The sequence below is a fragment of the Homo sapiens genome, chromosome 7, assembly GCF_000001405.40.
Source record: "Homo sapiens chromosome 7, GRCh38.p14 Primary Assembly".
Classification (NCBI taxonomy): Eukaryota; Metazoa; Chordata; class Mammalia; order Primates; family Hominidae; genus Homo; species Homo sapiens.
Genome location: NC_000007.14, coordinates 127,359,601 through 127,376,298, shown reverse-complemented (window position 1 = coordinate 127,376,298; position 16,698 = coordinate 127,359,601). Strand labels below are relative to the sequence as shown.

At 35.5% G+C, this 16,698-nt stretch overlaps 1 protein-coding gene across 38 annotated transcripts in view; it reads left to right on the top strand.

Annotated features, from left to right (window-relative positions):
* Window positions 1–16,698, top strand: part of ZNF800 (zinc finger protein 800) — a 49,850-nt gene that overhangs the window by 16,410 nt on the left and 16,742 nt on the right. For 12 of the 38 annotated variants that reach the window (NM_001438599.1, NM_001438596.1, NM_001438600.1 and 9 more), the window contains 2 exons: window positions 1,265–2,957; window positions 4,485–6,256. In NM_001438599.1, coding sequence (NP_001425528.1) covers window positions 1,265–2,957; window position 4,485 — 1,694 coding nt within the window. In that variant the 3' untranslated portion in view covers window positions 4,486–6,256. Of the gene's footprint in view, window positions 1–1,264; window positions 16,510–16,698 lie in introns of those variants that run through there. The other 26 variants (XM_011515859.4, XM_047419942.1, XM_006715868.5 and 23 more) reach the window with 6 other exon arrangements.

Sequence of the window (16,698 nt, the reverse complement as noted above, 5' to 3'; positions counted from 1 at the left end):
CATTTTTCAACTTAACCTTTTTGGGATTGGTATGAAATGCAATCTCCAAATAAGTATGGCTTTAATTATAATGAAGCTGGCTTAAAGTTATATTATACAGCATTGATTAAATACAAATTTTATATTTACCTGGAAATATTTCCTACTACTATTTTGATCTTACTATTCTCTCATTGAGATATAAATTAAAAAGCAGTCTAGAGATTCATTTCAAATCTAAACTTTTAATTAAAATACTAGTAGAAAATTAGTTTGTCTTTTGGTAGTTATTTATTTTTTAGTTGTAGAGTTAACTTATAGAGTGAAATGGTAAATGGATTTGCTAGATTACTGTGTACTTGTCTTCGCAATACTCATTCTAGAAATACTTTTGTGAAAGTATTTTTCTTATAGACACTACTTTATTCATCTTAAAAGACAGATGACTAGACTAGAAGAGCTATAATGAATCACTTCCTGATTGGTATAGATACCAGATTTGGTACTAAATTTGTAGCTAGATTTTAGAGTAGTAATACATGGAAACCTAACCAGTGTTAGACAACTCTGTTACAATAGGATAGTTGATTGCCTGTAAAGGGTGTAATTATTGTACAAGGAAATAAAACTACCTATGGTTTTTAAATAAATCTGTATAGTTTTTAATTATTTGTTTTAGTAAAATTGTGTCATGTTAAGAAGACATGTAATAGGACTGAGTTTAGCAAATACTTCTACACATCATCCCATTTATGTTTACATATTTGCTTACAAATCTTTCATTTTCATAAGATGCTCAAATAGACTAGATTAGATTAGACTATTATGGATTAAGTTAATGGGAATGCTGTTATGTTTTCTAAAAAATGCCATTTTTATTTATGTAGTAACATTTTTCATGCTGTTTTATCAATTGAGTTACGAGAATTTGAGTTGCCTTTGCTAGTCTAAAACATTCAGACTAAAAATATGAAATATCATTTTTATTATTTAGGACACCTAAGTGCTTATATATTTTATATTAAGGGCATTTGAAGCAAAAGTAGCCCTTCAGATTATATATGTTCCTTAACATTTTTGTGTATCATGATGAGAATTTAAAGGAAATTTTAGTTTAATAGTAGTCTTTATCTTTGTAGAATACTGAAAAGTAGATAATGCTCTTATAAAAATAAACTGGTAATATGATATATTCTGAGATAGAGGTTCATAATATATCTTAAAATATTAGAGGGCTACAGCAGGCTAATTACTTCAGATTAAAATGTTGTTTTTTCCTTAACAGACCTTCCTGATGTAAATGATAAACAAAGCCAAGCCATAAATGATCTCCTAGAAGCCATATATCCAAGTGTGGACAAACGAGAATATATTATTAAGCTAGAACCCATAGAAACTAATCAAAATGCAGTATTTCAATATATTTCGAGGACTGATAATCCTATTGAAGTCACAGAGTCAAGCAGTACTCCTGAACAAACCGAAGTTCAGATACAGGAAACTAGCACTGAACAGTCAAAAACAGTACCGGTTACAGATACAGAGGTGGAAACTGTAGAGCCCCCTCCTGTTGAGATTGTTACAGATGAAGTTGCACCTACATCTGATGAACAACCTCAGGAGTCGCAGGCTGACTTGGAAACTTCTGACAATTCTGATTTTGGTCACCAGTTGATATGTTGTCTTTGTAGAAAAGAATTCAATTCTAGACGAGGTGTTCGCCGTCACATTCGAAAAGTACACAAGAAAAAGATGGAAGAACTAAAAAAGTACATTGAAACACGAAAGAATCCAAACCAATCCTCTAAAGGACGCAGTAAGAATGTTCTAGTTCCATTAAGTAGGAGTTGTCCAGTATGTTGTAAATCATTTGCTACAAAAGCGAATGTAAGGAGGCATTTTGATGAAGTTCATAGAGGACTAAGGAGGGATTCAATTACTCCTGATATAGCAACAAAGCCTGGGCAACCTTTGTTCCTGGATTCTATTTCTCCTAAAAAATCTTTTAAGACTCGAAAACAAAAGTCTTCTTCAAAGGCTGAATACAATTTAACTGCATGCAAATGCCTCCTTTGCAAGAGGAAATATAGTTCACAAATAATGCTTAAAAGACATATGCAAATTGTCCACAAGATAACTCTTTCTGGAACAAACTCTAAAAGAGAAAAAGGCCCTAATAATACTGCCAACAGTTCAGAAATAAAAGTTAAAGTTGAACCAGCAGATTCTGTAGAATCTTCACCCCCTTCCATTACCCATTCTCCACAGAATGAATTAAAGGGAACAAATCATTCAAATGAAAAAAAGAACACACCGGCAGCACAGAAAAATAAAGTTAAACAAGACTCTGAAAGCCCTAAATCAACTAGTCCGTCGGCTGCAGGTGGCCAGCAAAAAACCAGAAAACCAAAACTTTCAGCTGGCTTTGACTTTAAGCAACTTTACTGTAAACTTTGTAAACGTCAGTTTACTTCCAAACAGAACTTGACTAAACACATCGAGTTGCACACAGATGGAAATAACATTTATGTTAAATTCTACAAGTGTCCTCTTTGCACTTATGAAACTCGTCGGAAACGTGATGTGATACGACATATAACTGTGGTTCATAAAAAGTCATCTCGTTATCTTGGGAAAATAACAGCCAGTTTAGAGATCAGAGCTATAAAAAAGCCTATTGATTTTGTTCTAAATAAAGTGGCAAAAAGAGGCCCTTCGAGGGATGAAGCAAAACATAGTGATTCAAAACATGATGGCACTTCTAACTCTCCTAGTAAAAAGTATGAAGTAGCTGACGTCGGTATTGAAGTAAAAGTCACAAAAAACTTTTCTCTTCACAGATGCAATAAATGTGGAAAGGCATTTGCCAAAAAGACTTACCTTGAACATCATAAGAAAACTCATAAGGCAAATGCTTCCAATTCACCTGAAGGAAACAAAACCAAAGGCCGAAGTACAAGATCTAAGGCTCTTGTCTGGTGAGGAACAGTTAACAGAGTTTTGCTTTTTTCCCCCCATCGAACTAAAAAAAAAATCATTTGACCATAATTTATAGCTGGTTCCATTTTAACACGTTTGCTTCCATATATCTCATGGCAATGGGAACTGCAAGAGTAATGTGCATATTGCATTTACCTCTTCAGTGACCTTTATTCCAGTGGCTTGGGAACAAAAGTTAACTTCAGAACTTATCTTCCACAGGACAATGCAATGTAGTTGTAGGTAGATGGCACAGGGTCAGTGCTTTCCTTTTAATGTTGTAAAATATATACATTTATATTGGCTTATGTTTACAATAGAAGTCTTCTGTTTAACTAACTTTGCACAGGTTTAATTTGATTCAGTGACTTAGTCTACTAATTAATGAATTGTAGGAAAGTTAAATATATTAGAATGAACTTGTGAAGGCGATAACTATAGGAAAAAATCTTTTGAGGCACTGTAATTATTGTAAAAATTAATCTGTGACGGCTAAATAAAATGCTGCACTCAGAAAAAAAAATCCCCGAATTGAATTAAAAATGATTAGCATTTATCATTTACTTTTAACATAGTGCTTCCAGGCAAAGGGGGAAAGTTGGTGGTAAATAGAAGTTTGGATTTTTTTTCCTTCTCCTTGGGAGTGTGTGTTAGTTACTGTTTTTTAGTTTTGATCTATGGAAACAATGCTTATTTAGGTCCCAAATGCTTCCCCTCTCTTTTTAATAAACTTTTTGGTGATCATTTTAACATAGTTAATATTATTAACTAGGGATTTGTTTTTTGTGGTTGTGTGTCGTAAGAAAAGTAAAATTCATATTTGGAAGAAAGAAAAATACTACTTTTTTTTTTTTTTTTTTGAGACGGAGTTTCGCTCTTGTTGCCCAGGCTGGAGTGCAGTGGTGCAATCTCGGCTCACTACACCTTCCGCCTCCTGGGTTCAAGCAATTCTCCTGCCTCAGCCTCCCAAGTAGCTGGGATTACAGGCATAAGCCACCACACCCGGCTAATTTTGTATTTTTAGTAGAGATGGGGTTTCATCATGTTGGTCAGGCTGGTCTCAAAACTCCTGGACCTCAGGTGATCCGCCCACCTCGGCCTCCCAAAGTGCTGGGGTTACAGGCATGAGCCACCGTGCCTGGCCAAAAAATACTACTTGTTAAAGAAGGTTTTGGAACAAATGTAGATTTTTAAAAAATGCAACATAAAATGAGTAGACTCCCTATACTTTTCGCAAGTCTATATATATTTTAAAAGTTCACCTTCTATACCTGTGTCCCCTGTATTAAGGCATTTAATGTATTTAATGAGTATTAAATTAGTTTCAGATTCAGGTTCTAAAGCAAAATATTAGTTTGAGTGCTGTGAGGGTTAAATGTTGTGGTTTGATTATCACACGTTTTTTTATTTGTGTGGAAAACTTGAGATGAAACCATCTTTTAGAAGTAATTTACTGTTGCATAGTTTTAAAAACTAGGTTTTATTAGTAAACTCAAAAGTGTTCATTTATTCCCATTTCTCCTCAGATAACTTCAAGTGATGTACGAAAAGGTTTGGAGTTCATTTTTGTGGAAAGACTTTAAATTGGTGTTAGAACCACTAAACATCTTCAAATGGTACTATGAGGAAAAAAAGAAAAACATTTTTCTAAATATTCAACTATAACTGCTGTTTTCTGACTAAAATAACCATCTAACCACTTGTTTCTAAGGCACTGCCTATTCCAGCACTTTCAAGTAGCTGTGATATTACATGTTGTCATCACAGTCCATCAGCTATCCACCCTTGACCTTGTGCATTTGGTCGACAGTTTCTACAAAAATGTTACAAATTTTGTTTTCTAAACAATTTGTTGATTAAGTGATCAACAACCTGAAGAAAATATCAATTTTTAATTGACAAAGACTTTATATCTTAGTGATTTTAGTTTTGTTTCTCTTTATTTGGCAACATTTTCATCTGAATTGTATAGATATATGATTTTCTAGTGAGTGTATGTTAGGAACAAAAGACAAAATAGTATCAACACATTATAAATATTTAGCTTACTAAATATTTGTAATTATTTTTACATCCATTTATTTCTAGCTTGTTCTCCAGCACTTCAGTGTTTGAAAGTTTCATCCTAAAATATATACTACAGGAAAGCTGCAGTTCATTTTCATGCATGGATCATTACATTTTTCACTTGTAAATGTAGGTTTTTATGAAAATTAAACATTCCCCTATTTTTCTTTAAATTTTATACAAAGCACTTTAATGATAGATGCAACCTTATTTTTCAGTTCCTATTTTTTTAAAGACCACACATTTACTAATGTTAATATGAAGGTAATAAATAGCTTACTGATATTTTATGGATGCAGACAATCCATGCACAACCACTTCTTATGATACTAGTTTATTTCCTTAAATATTGCTACAAAAGGAAGATGCGGGTGTAAGCCCTGATTTTTTTTTCTCCCAAGAAAAATCTTAAAGGACCACTTTAGATAATATTTGATTCCTACTGTAAAATTTAGAAAATGATGAATTCTTGTCCATTTTTGTAATCAAGATTTTAGGAAAAACAGAAGTACATCTATCTTTATGAAATTTTGGGCAGGTTTTTGTGTATCAATATTTTGTACTTTTAGGGAATATTTTATTTTTTAGTTATTTGTGTCAAATTATAATTATAAAAGGTACAGCAGAAAATATACCATGTTTTTATATAGGTTCACACCTGTACTTAGGAGGGACCCTGTCCATCTATATACTTTTTGTATAAAATTTTAAAATGTTAAAGATCCACAAGGTCTTAATAAAATGATTCTATAGCTAGAAAAACATTTACCTTCCCAGTGCTTTGCACTAAAATATACTGTGAAAGGAAACTAGAAAGACTGTAACTATTGCTGGAAATGTTCTATATTGAATGTACATGCTCTTGTTGGAAAAATGTACTATATGTGATGGAAATAAACCAGAATCGAAGTTATTTCAGCTAAATGTGCTTCAGCAAAGGTGCATTGGTTGAAACTTAAATGTTTTATTATCAAATTTAAACTTATTCAGTGACTATGAGCAGCTACACTTGAATTATATTCTGATAGTTTTATTTCTAAGAAATAGAGTAATAATTTCTCTTTAATTTAAAAACAGATTTACTTTCCCACATATTGAAAATTTGTACTTATAGATCTAACTTTAATAACTAATAGTATAATATATTTAGGGAACTAAATGTGTAGGTGGTATTTCATTTATAAGCCATCTTCATTAGTTGCACATTATTAAACCTATATGTTTGACTTTTGCAAGGTGTTATCTTTTATGCATTCCTACACACAAGACATATTCCAAAGATATTTTCCAGATAAATGCTGATAACCCCTGAAAAGATATGAGGATTCCTAAAAAGCTAGGGGTTGCTCTTTGCAGCATCCTCTCATTTGTATGCCAGCCTTTCCCTCTCTGCTTGCTTGTTAAATACTATAGAGAAGAAAGAAAAATTGATATTGGAGGAGGGGAGCCCATTGCTGGAATTCTCTTACTCTACCCACCTATTTCTACAGGACCATTCACAGTGTGTCTCCTCCATAGTAATTCTGGGGCCACAGAATAGGAATCTAGAGGAGGAAATAAATGAGAGTTCCAGGGCTGTCAAAAGATTTCATCTGGGTCATGTAGGAAAAATAGCACTGTGTCAGTACTTGCCTACATTAGACAGACTGGAAACATTTTATCATAATAGCTGAATTAATGGATAATGGCATATATAAGAGAACCTGAACTAGGACCAGTTTAGAAAGGTAGAACAAACAAGTGACCACAAAGTATTGTTCTTCTTATTCCTTTCTGGTCTTCATCCTTCCTGATTTGACTTGAGCTCTGTCACTTCAGGGGCTCAGGCTTAAGGCTCTTGAGAAGAGGCCTAAGAAGTTTGTGCCAGAAGCTTTTCTGCATGTAGGCTACATAAACACATATTTAGGTGATTTTGTATTGTTATAGTGAGGATTACAGCACACAAAGAGCCATCAGAAACTGCTTATTTTATATAAGACCTATCTGGCTATAAATTATATCTACCTTTGCTGCTATTTGATCAATTAAGAGTTTTCCTATGGAATTCAACTTACCTTCCTTCCTAAAGATGCCTTCCATTCCTAAGTGTGGTGGGAGAGGAGAAACAACAGGCGTAGGTTGCTCTTCAACTTTATAAGTTTGAATAGTGCAAATGAGAGCTGAAGTATAGCTGACATTGGGCAGGTGTTCATTAGACATGCCTTGAATACACAACAACCATTTCTTTTTTTTTTTGGTTTATGTCTCCATTCCCTCCCCCTCCCCTTTACTCTTTAAGAAGAAAACCTTTGAAGAGTGTACACATTACCCATTCTTAGGTTTTAGTTTTTTGTCTAGTTTTGTATATATGAATTAAGTTTTTGGTTGACACAGGTTGCTTTAGTTGTTGAAATGTACCTTCAGATTTTTTAGGAATATATTTATTATATTACTTTATGGTCAATAAATAGTCTGTTCTGCTCAGTTTGCATTAAAGAGCCTATGGATGCAGTAGTGGGGAGTTAATGATTTTGCTATGGCATGAGGCTGTGGGTATAGAAAGAGGAGTTTCCCTGTAGGTGTTATGGTAAATACATGTGGAGATAGGTAGAAGTGATTATCATTCCCTGTTGTGAAGTTGCAAAAGATCTCTTCAAATAGCATGACTTCTGAAAATGAGGTAGAGATGCTTCAAAAATTTTGGAAATTATGTTTCCAGGTTTCCTGCAGTGACCCATTGAAGTATTCTAGATCCTTAGTTTGGAGTTGGAGAAGTTATTTTTCTAATGGAATCCATAGATTATCAGGATTATGATTTAGCCATGGCTTTCAGTTGATCTGAAGCCAAGCTCTAAGATATGTGCAGCAGGATATTGGCTGTGCTGTTAGACAAATCCTTCTGTACTCTGTGCTATCCTGTCGTCTCTCTTTAAGAGCTAAAGGGATCCTTGGTATTGAAAAGGAATAAGGATCAGCAATTTCAGGAATAGCTGTTCTGTGGTTTTTGAGGCATTAAACACATGGTAGAATGCAGATTAAAAACATGTCTCACTTAAAACCTACAATTATTTTGGCTTTTCTAACTTTCCAAATTCATTTCTCTTCTCCTAAATTGTTTCTATACCCTATTCCTCTGAGCTTCCAGCTTCTACCTTGCCTTTTCTTCTTCTAGTTTAATAGAAATCATTAGTACCAAGATAGCTAAAGTGTTTTTTGGAAGGGTAAGAGTATGGAAAATGCAGCTCATTTCCTCCTAAATCTTCATTGCTCCACACCAAATTTGGGAGGCTTATTATTTTCAAGCCTCTTCCTCTACATATTTTCACCACTACAACACCACAAACAAAAAGGGACCTAGCATACCATAGGTGCATCTGTTTGAGAAAATGCCCAAAGTTGGAGGTTTTGGTGTTTGCGTCCACTCAGCAGAATTAATTTGCTTGATTGTGTATTTTTGATGTCAGGGACTCTCTTGATAATTTTGTACGGTGCCTAGCACATTTTCATGTATACCAAGACACTTCAAATAAATATTTGATAATGGTATTAAGGCAAGTAAGCCTTTTCCATCTCTAAATTGTACACCATGTATTTTGAGACTTCAAGTCTTAACATTTTATCTTCTCAATATTGATGGATTTCACTTGTTTTTAGGAAATTTCACCAGTGTTGTGTTTATAAAAAAGAAAGATAATTCTTAGTAATAGCTAATAATAATGAACATTTATGGCATGCTTGTTATATGCCAAGCACTCTGCTAAATCTTTTCATGCATAATGTCCCTAATCCTACCAACAACTCTATGAAGTAAAACCTATTCTTTCATTATCCCTGTTTTATGGAACAGAAAATAGAAACTTAGAGAAGTTCAGTGATTTACTTAGGTTCACATAGCTGGTAAGAAACTTACACTAGTCATCTAATTGGCGTGTAAATGCATATGTACCCATAGATACAAATGTTATGTTATGCTCTTTTTTTGAGTTGCAAGCACAGAATTTTACTTGGTAGCTTCTAAGGAGAGTTTTATTAGAAGACTTTATTTGGGGAAATATGGGAGATATAAGTGATCAGGCCTTATAGGATTCCAAGAGTAATTGTACAACTCAGCTTCACCATTCAGATTTCAACTAGGTAGGTGTTACAAAATGAGAAAAAAAAATCAGTGCAACTCTAGTGTCTGGATGTTGCCCTCTGAGCAGCAGAAGTATTGCTTCTCTGCTGCTATTAGCCCTTTTCAGACTCTGCTTTATTTTGTTTTAAACAAATTACCTCACTCTGTATCTTCTCAATATGGTCTTAACTGCCTCGTTCCACCCTCTGCTCTGTGTCCTTCCGCTACTTTCCCCTTCTGTACAGCTTGAGTTCAATCTTCTGTAAGAGGAAATCTAATTAGTCCAGTTAGATTCATTGCCTGTTGGGCTAATCTCTCATGTCAGTCCCCTTCATAGGTTGCTGGCCAGTCTGTAGATTGGCTGCTCTTGGGACAGTTGCTCTCTCTTGGTCCTGTCATTTGTGATCATAGTGGCAGAGTCAGTGGCATAAAACATGGCCCTGGGCCCCATAGAAGGAATCTTTTGGTGGGAATCTCTTAAAAGACCATAGTCCTAAAATGTGATGAGCTTTCCAGTATACATGTTTTTCTTTCTTTTGAAAGGTGACAGAATGAAAGGCAAGTTGTGATCTTGACTGTTAGGTCAATGCAGCATCAGCAATCCTTTCCCTACTGAGAAAATGTGGAAAATAGTGTTTTGATCAGTATCTGCATTTCCTTTTCTAAACTGCCTGATGACATTTCCTTCTTTGGGTTTGTAGATTCATAGACAGCCTGAAGTTTTCCCTCAGAAAGAGCCATTACATTTTTTGTAGCAGCATATTAGGCCACCGCATCAGTTGCTGCTGTTTTCCAGACATCCACAATTATGCTGCATAGTTTGAGTTGGTGATTTAGTGAATCCTCAAAGTATTGTTTCTGCTTTTCTGTTTGTGCTTTCCACATTTGGGCTTACTGTGCAATGGCTGCTTTATATCCTGTCATTCATTCCTTCAATGACAGACACTATCGAGCATCCATCATGTGCCTAGCATCATTCCATTCTTTTGGGGAAACAGTCATACAGTGGTTAAAGCACGGATTTTTTAAGAGTCAAGAAGACCTGAATTCAAGTCCTGGCTTCTTTGCTTACTAGCTCTGTAGTGTGGGCAAGTTACCAAATCTTTCTAAGCTTCAATTTTCCTGTCTGTAAAATGATTATATTAGAAACTACCTTATAGGTAGGTTTATTGTGGGAATTTATAAAAGCTTAATGATGTGTATAGTGTACTTAGCACAATACCTGGCTCAGGGAAGAGCTCAGTAAATATTATTACTGTCGTAGTGATCACTGAACTTGTATCGGTTTCTTTCTGAAATACTTTCTAGCACTTAGCTTTTGGTTATCTTGCTTTGCCATTTGATGTTTGTTGCCTTCTTGTTGGCAATAATCCAACCGTTAAATGAAAAGTCAAATGTAACATCTGTGATAAAGCCAAGATACACAGAAGTTTATTAAGTTAGAGCACTTCGTTATTTTATGGGCCTTTATGCTGGAGTTTGGTGCCATTTTTGGTGGCACCTTTTGCTAATTGTTCACGAATTTGCTGACCTTTTATGATATTATTTTGTTTCTTCATGATTAATGTCTTATTGAACAATGTGTAGTTTTGAATAGCAAAACTCAGGACAGTTTTGTTTTGTTTTGTTTTGGTAAACATTAGGCTGTGGGTACAGGAATGTATTTTGAGATTACAAGCAAGAATTGTCTTTTCTTTGTATCACCAATGCCTCATAGTGTACCTAGCACACAACAGTTGCTAAGAGAATGATGAAGAAAGAAGGAAGGCAGGAACAACACTTCAGTTATCTTCAGGCTTATCTTATCATTAGTCAACAGTCTGTCTTGGGTTTTACTTCTTTTCCCATTACATGATCTAATCTGTATAGCTTCTCTACATGTGAGATTCCTCTTCATTTCTGGTTACTTATGGTTTCTGTTGCCTGCCTTCATTGTGTGAACCTTCTAGCTTCTGCCATTGCTACTAAGTAATAGTGACAGGTTCAGACTCATGGTAGTGCTACATTGACTGTATTAGTATTAGCCCATATATAATTGCATGCTATATGGGTGTGCATTTAGTGATTTTTCTTGATAATTCTTAATACTTACCTTTTTAAATTCATACTTAATCTAATTCCATGAAATGCAGCTTGCCTTCCACTTCATGTTCCACTTCCAGATCCAAACAAAGCATGCCCACAATTGTTGATTGATTGTGCTTTCTCTCATTTACATAATCTTAAGAAGTGGAGTTGATTGGTTATCATTTCATTTATCCTTGCTTGCTTCAAACTTTTCACACTGTTCTTAAGCCTTCAACCCCATCTTTGCTTCCTTTATAAAAGTCAGATCTTGCTTATATCATGACAAAAAGTAGAAGATGTTTGTTTATGCTCTTTTCACATCAGGACTATTTTTTATCTTCTGTCTCTTCTTTGGAGGAAGAGCTGTTTTTCTGTTCCAAGTCCAGCACTTCCACCCTTGCCTGTCTACTTCACTGGACTTTCTTCCAACAACTCCTCCTCTTTACCCCTCCCCAGCTTCTGTCTCCCTGTCCACTAGCTCCTCTTCCTCAACCTACAAACATGCTCAAATTCCTTTCAGTCAAAAAATAAACTTCTCTTCTATACTACCTTGAACCTAGTTACTGCCATCTAGTCTGTCAAACTTCCATGTGCTCTCATACTACCCTGTTTTAGTACTGATTCTGTCACATTGTAATTGTTTATTTCCTTGTTTTCCTTCTATATCAGACTGTAAGCTTCTGAGAAATCTGTCTCTTGATCCTGGTTGATTCACCGAAGCCCAAGCTAGTTCCTAGTGCATCGTACGCATTCAGTAAATATTTTTTGAATGAATGAACAATGTTAGAGCCATGCCTCTGCCATTCACTTTGTGAACTACCTGTAATTTTTTTCTACCCCTACATTTCGGTTGAAAGTTCACTTGAAGGTCACCACATAAATGTGAAATCTAGTGGCTTCTCTCTTTACATCATGCTTGACCTCTGCAACCATTAGTGCTTACAAATTTACCTTTTCCACACATTCATGGTCACGTATACCTGGGTCATTTTGGGCCAGTCTCAGTATTGCATTCAAAAGAAGCAGACAAGCCCCGAACCTTTGGAAAGTAATGAACTTCTGTAATATATTAGTGAAATCTTCTAATGAGATAGAAATATACAATTACATAAAGCTCAGCAAACTTCAAATAAGTTCTTTTTACCCACCTTCCCATATCCTTACACAGCTTGGCACCTTCAATCTCTCTTTTGTAACAGTTCACCCAAAACTTGTACACTTTTGGCCAAAAACCCCTTGTCCTTTGTCCCCTTTTTTCATCTTCTATGTTTATTTTCTTCCAAGAATAGATTATTCTTTCCAGTTTAAATCACTTTAGCCTCTTTTGGCTCCTTCCAACCAAGTTCTTTCCTAAACCAGTTATCTTACTCAGTATTTTAGAAGTCCAGGAGCATTGTCTTGATTTCATTTGGTTTGCCCTTACCAACTTTCTTTGCATCATTTTATTTAATCTTAATGCCTCACATCAGTGAGTATTCCCTGACCTCCTGGGTGTCTCCCTTCTGTGTCTCTGTGGTGCCCCGTTTATAACTCTCTGGAAATAATCTATTTCTATCTCTTCTCTAGGCTATACATTTCTTAAGGGTAGGAGTCCTGTCTTTTTTTTGTACCCCCATATCTAGCATAGTACCTGGAACATGGTGGGTGTTGATAAATGTTTATTGGACTGATGCTTCTGTGAAATTTAATACTTTCTCTTTTGCCACTGGCTTTTGTTTTGTTACTAGGTCTTCAAATATGGATTAAGGTTTCCTTAATGTCTTTTTTTCTTTTTATATACTCTTAGTGATTCCTCTATTCCCGAGGTATCACTTATCACTTCCATAAAGATGACTCCAGGTCCGTTTTCTAGTCTGGCTGTTCTCCTTATTATAAGACCATTTGTTTTCAAAGTTGAATGTCAGACATCTCCACATGAATGTGTCACCAGTATCTTAAATGCAACAAAAAACTCAGTAATCCAAACTTATCTTCCTTTTAAAATTTCTTCCTATGTGCTCCATGTCTCAGTTGTTCTAACCCCTACCCTTCCGGTTACCTATGCTAGTTGGAATCCTGGCAAATGCCTTAACTTCTTTCTTTTATACTCTCCCTAATCTGTGATCAATGCCTATCCATCCTGCCTCTGAATGTTTTTCACGTTTGCTTCCCCTTCCCATCTCCACTTTTAGTAGTTTTGTTATCACTTACCTTCACTATTGCAGTAGTCTCTTAACTGACCTCTTTTCTAATCTGTCTTCCGTGCTGTTGTTAGAAATATCTTCCTAAAACACAGATCTGTTGTTACTGTATGTTCATCGCTTGACTAATTTACTTATCTTTCAGGTCTCTGCCAAATGTCACTTCTAAATAAAGTATGTCTGTCTTCTTTGTTGTTTGTTTCATGTTCCTTTCCTACTGTCATCTAATACTGTTTGTAATTGTGTTTATATTTGTGCATTGATTTGTTTAATGTCTTTCTTCCCACTGGAGAGATTTATGTAAGGGACTGGGGAGAGTTATGTAGACCCTGGGCCTAGCACAATGCTCGGGACATAGTAACACTTAAAACATATCTGTTGAATGAGTGGATGGATAATAGCAAAGTACAGGCAGTGCAGGCAAACAGATACCAAGTAGCAAAGGCAGGGAAATTACAGGGTCCTAGACTCTTAGTACATTCTCACAGACCTTAATCTGTAGTTTAAAATAGTAATGGGCTTCTCTCTTTTGCTTTTTGCATTTATTTCCCTAAGGATGAGAGTGAACAACTTACTACCCCACACTGACACTTCAGTGAGGGCACTGTGGAACCTTTCTAATCAGAAGATGGGACCAGGCTTGACAATGATTCAATCAAAGCAGTTTTAGTGTCACACTTGTCTCATGGAGGCTATTTGTATTTCTGAAGAAATTCCAATCAAATAACAGCTTACTAGATTTTTTTCCTGGTCTAAATATTATTTTTGGGCATTTTCCACAAAAAGCTTTTTGGGAAAGGTGGTTCTTACACTGGGGCTTGGAATAATTGTATCTCTATGCTTGGCCTTGGAATAATTCTGTCTCTGTTGGAATTGTGCACACGTTGAGGCCTGAGGCCTTATCTTTTATAGGGCCTTCACTATGTAGCTTCTCATATATTCAGCATCTTAGGAGAGAATCATATTCAACATAGTTTTGCTTTAAGCTTTTTACTTGGTATCAGCAGTTTTGCCTTAAGTTCTAAAGCTTAATAATGAAACTCTGTTGAATGAGAACCTTTCCAAAAGATATACTTTTCTACATAAGCTGAGTTTATTCATCCAGAGTCATCAAGAATAGATTATATTTAGAACATATGGAATGAATAAATATTAGTGAATTCATCTTTATTGGACTTTTAAATTTCTTTACATATAATTCCATTCACTCATTTATTCAGCCATCTACACTTGAGCAACTACTTTATGCCAAGGACTGTAGTAAACATTTAGGATCTGAAGAAAAATATGACTTGATTACTCTTAAGAATTTTATAAGTCTAGGCTTTTTTTCATGTCTGAGGCCAGATTGATTTTTCTTTTCCTTTTTTTCACTCAGGATGAAGTACATAGTGGTATAATCCTAGTTGACTGCAGCCTCGAACTCCTGGGCTCAGGTGATTCTCCTTCCTCAGCTTCCTGAGTAGCTGGGATACAAGCCTGTACCACCACACCTTGCTAATTTTTATTATTTATTTTCTGTAGAGATGAGGTCTCTCTATGTTGCTCAGGCTGGTGTCGAATCCTGGCCTCAAGCAATCCTCCTGACTTGGCTTCACAAAGCGATGGGATTACAGGCATGCACCACCACACCTGGCCTTAGAGTGATTTTTCTTAAGTGCAAATTCGTGCTCTTTTTTCTAAGGCCTCAGCTTGGAATGTCCTCTTGTATTACCCACCTCTCTTCTTTCAGGACTCATCTCTTAGGAACCTTCCCTGTCCAAGGCAGCTGAGTACCCTTCAGTATACTCATCCTACCCTCTCCCTCTCCTGTTGTGGCAGTTAGTACCATGTTTTGTAACTACCTGTTTATTTGGGTCTCCCCAACTAGACTGAAAAAGGCGCTTGAAGGCAGGGCTGTTTCCGTCCTTGTGTCCTGAGTGCTGAGCACAATACTGAGTACAGTTTGTGACCTATAGAATTTGTGGAGGGAAGGCATTTTGGATGGAGGCTGTTGGTTAAGTGACCTGCAAAACTGCTCCAGTATCATGCCAGGATCAGTCTTCTTTGCTCATTATTGATGAGAAGCAACACTAACTTATGTCTTTATTCCTAACTTAATTATACTCCAAGTACACATTTGCATGCTTCATTACATGCCTGTAGTGATATCAGTGACACTGATAAAGTATTTTTTCATATTTTAGTTCTCATGTTTTTGACTCTTTATTTTAACTTTGTTGTTGATTGAATTGAGTATTTGAGTTGCTGTTAGTATAAATAAAGTTTCCATCTTGGATGACTTACCATGTTAACAAAAAAAAAATCACAAGCAGTATTATGTGCTAGTGATACCTTGTGATTTAAAATGTATTTTGTTCCAGCAAAGAACCAGTTTGGGTCTCTTTGGAGAATGGGCATACATCTGAGTTGACCTCAACTTTTCTGTAGGAGAGATTATTGAATCTCCTATAAAGGATTATATGTAAATATATAAATTAACATTTGTCTGTTTTACAAAATAGAGTGTCTGAAACAAGAATACATAAAATGTTATTTTCAATGTACTAGAGTAGAGGAGTTTGGTATTTAAAGGAGTTCTGTACTTTGGTAAAGCCAAAATTCCTTTGATTACACTAGTGGTTGGTTATTTAATCAGGATGTGAATTCAAATTGCCTACAAAATTTTGAAAAAATGCAGATGTTTGGCTGACTCCACATCTATCAGATTGCAATTTCTAGTGGTAGTGTCCAAGCTCCTATATATTTTGTACCAACTACCTGGGTAATTTGATGGGTTTTCAGAACTACTCAACTATATAAACCAAAGAACCTCAAACCTTAACATATATATGATCATGTGGGACCTTGTTAAAATGCAGATTCTGAGTCAGGAGCTCTGGGTGTGACCTGAGATTTTCCAGTTCCAGCGAGCTCCATGTGATGTCCGTGCTGATGGTGTGTGATCCACACTTTGAACAATAAGGCTATAAATAATAACCATCTACATTTTAAAAGATTTCCTTTTTTTTTTTCATTTAAGTGTGGTGTATCTGTTTCCTACTCTTGCTTATTCTATAAGAGAAGTGTAATGGGCTTTAGATCCAGTCTAAAATAGTTTTGGTTTGGATATTGTCTTCCATTAAAGTTTCAGTACGCAGAGGATGAAACTTTGTCCTTCGTTTTTTCCAATGACCATCAGATAAATGATAAACATGAATCTAAAAGTAATTTCTCATTTCCGATCCTCCTGTCAGCTATGGTCCTCTGAGGTCAAATAAAAGACAAGTAGAGGAAGTAAGTCATCTGTTCAGAGACTCTATTGCCTCTTAAAAATAACACTCAACTCTGAAG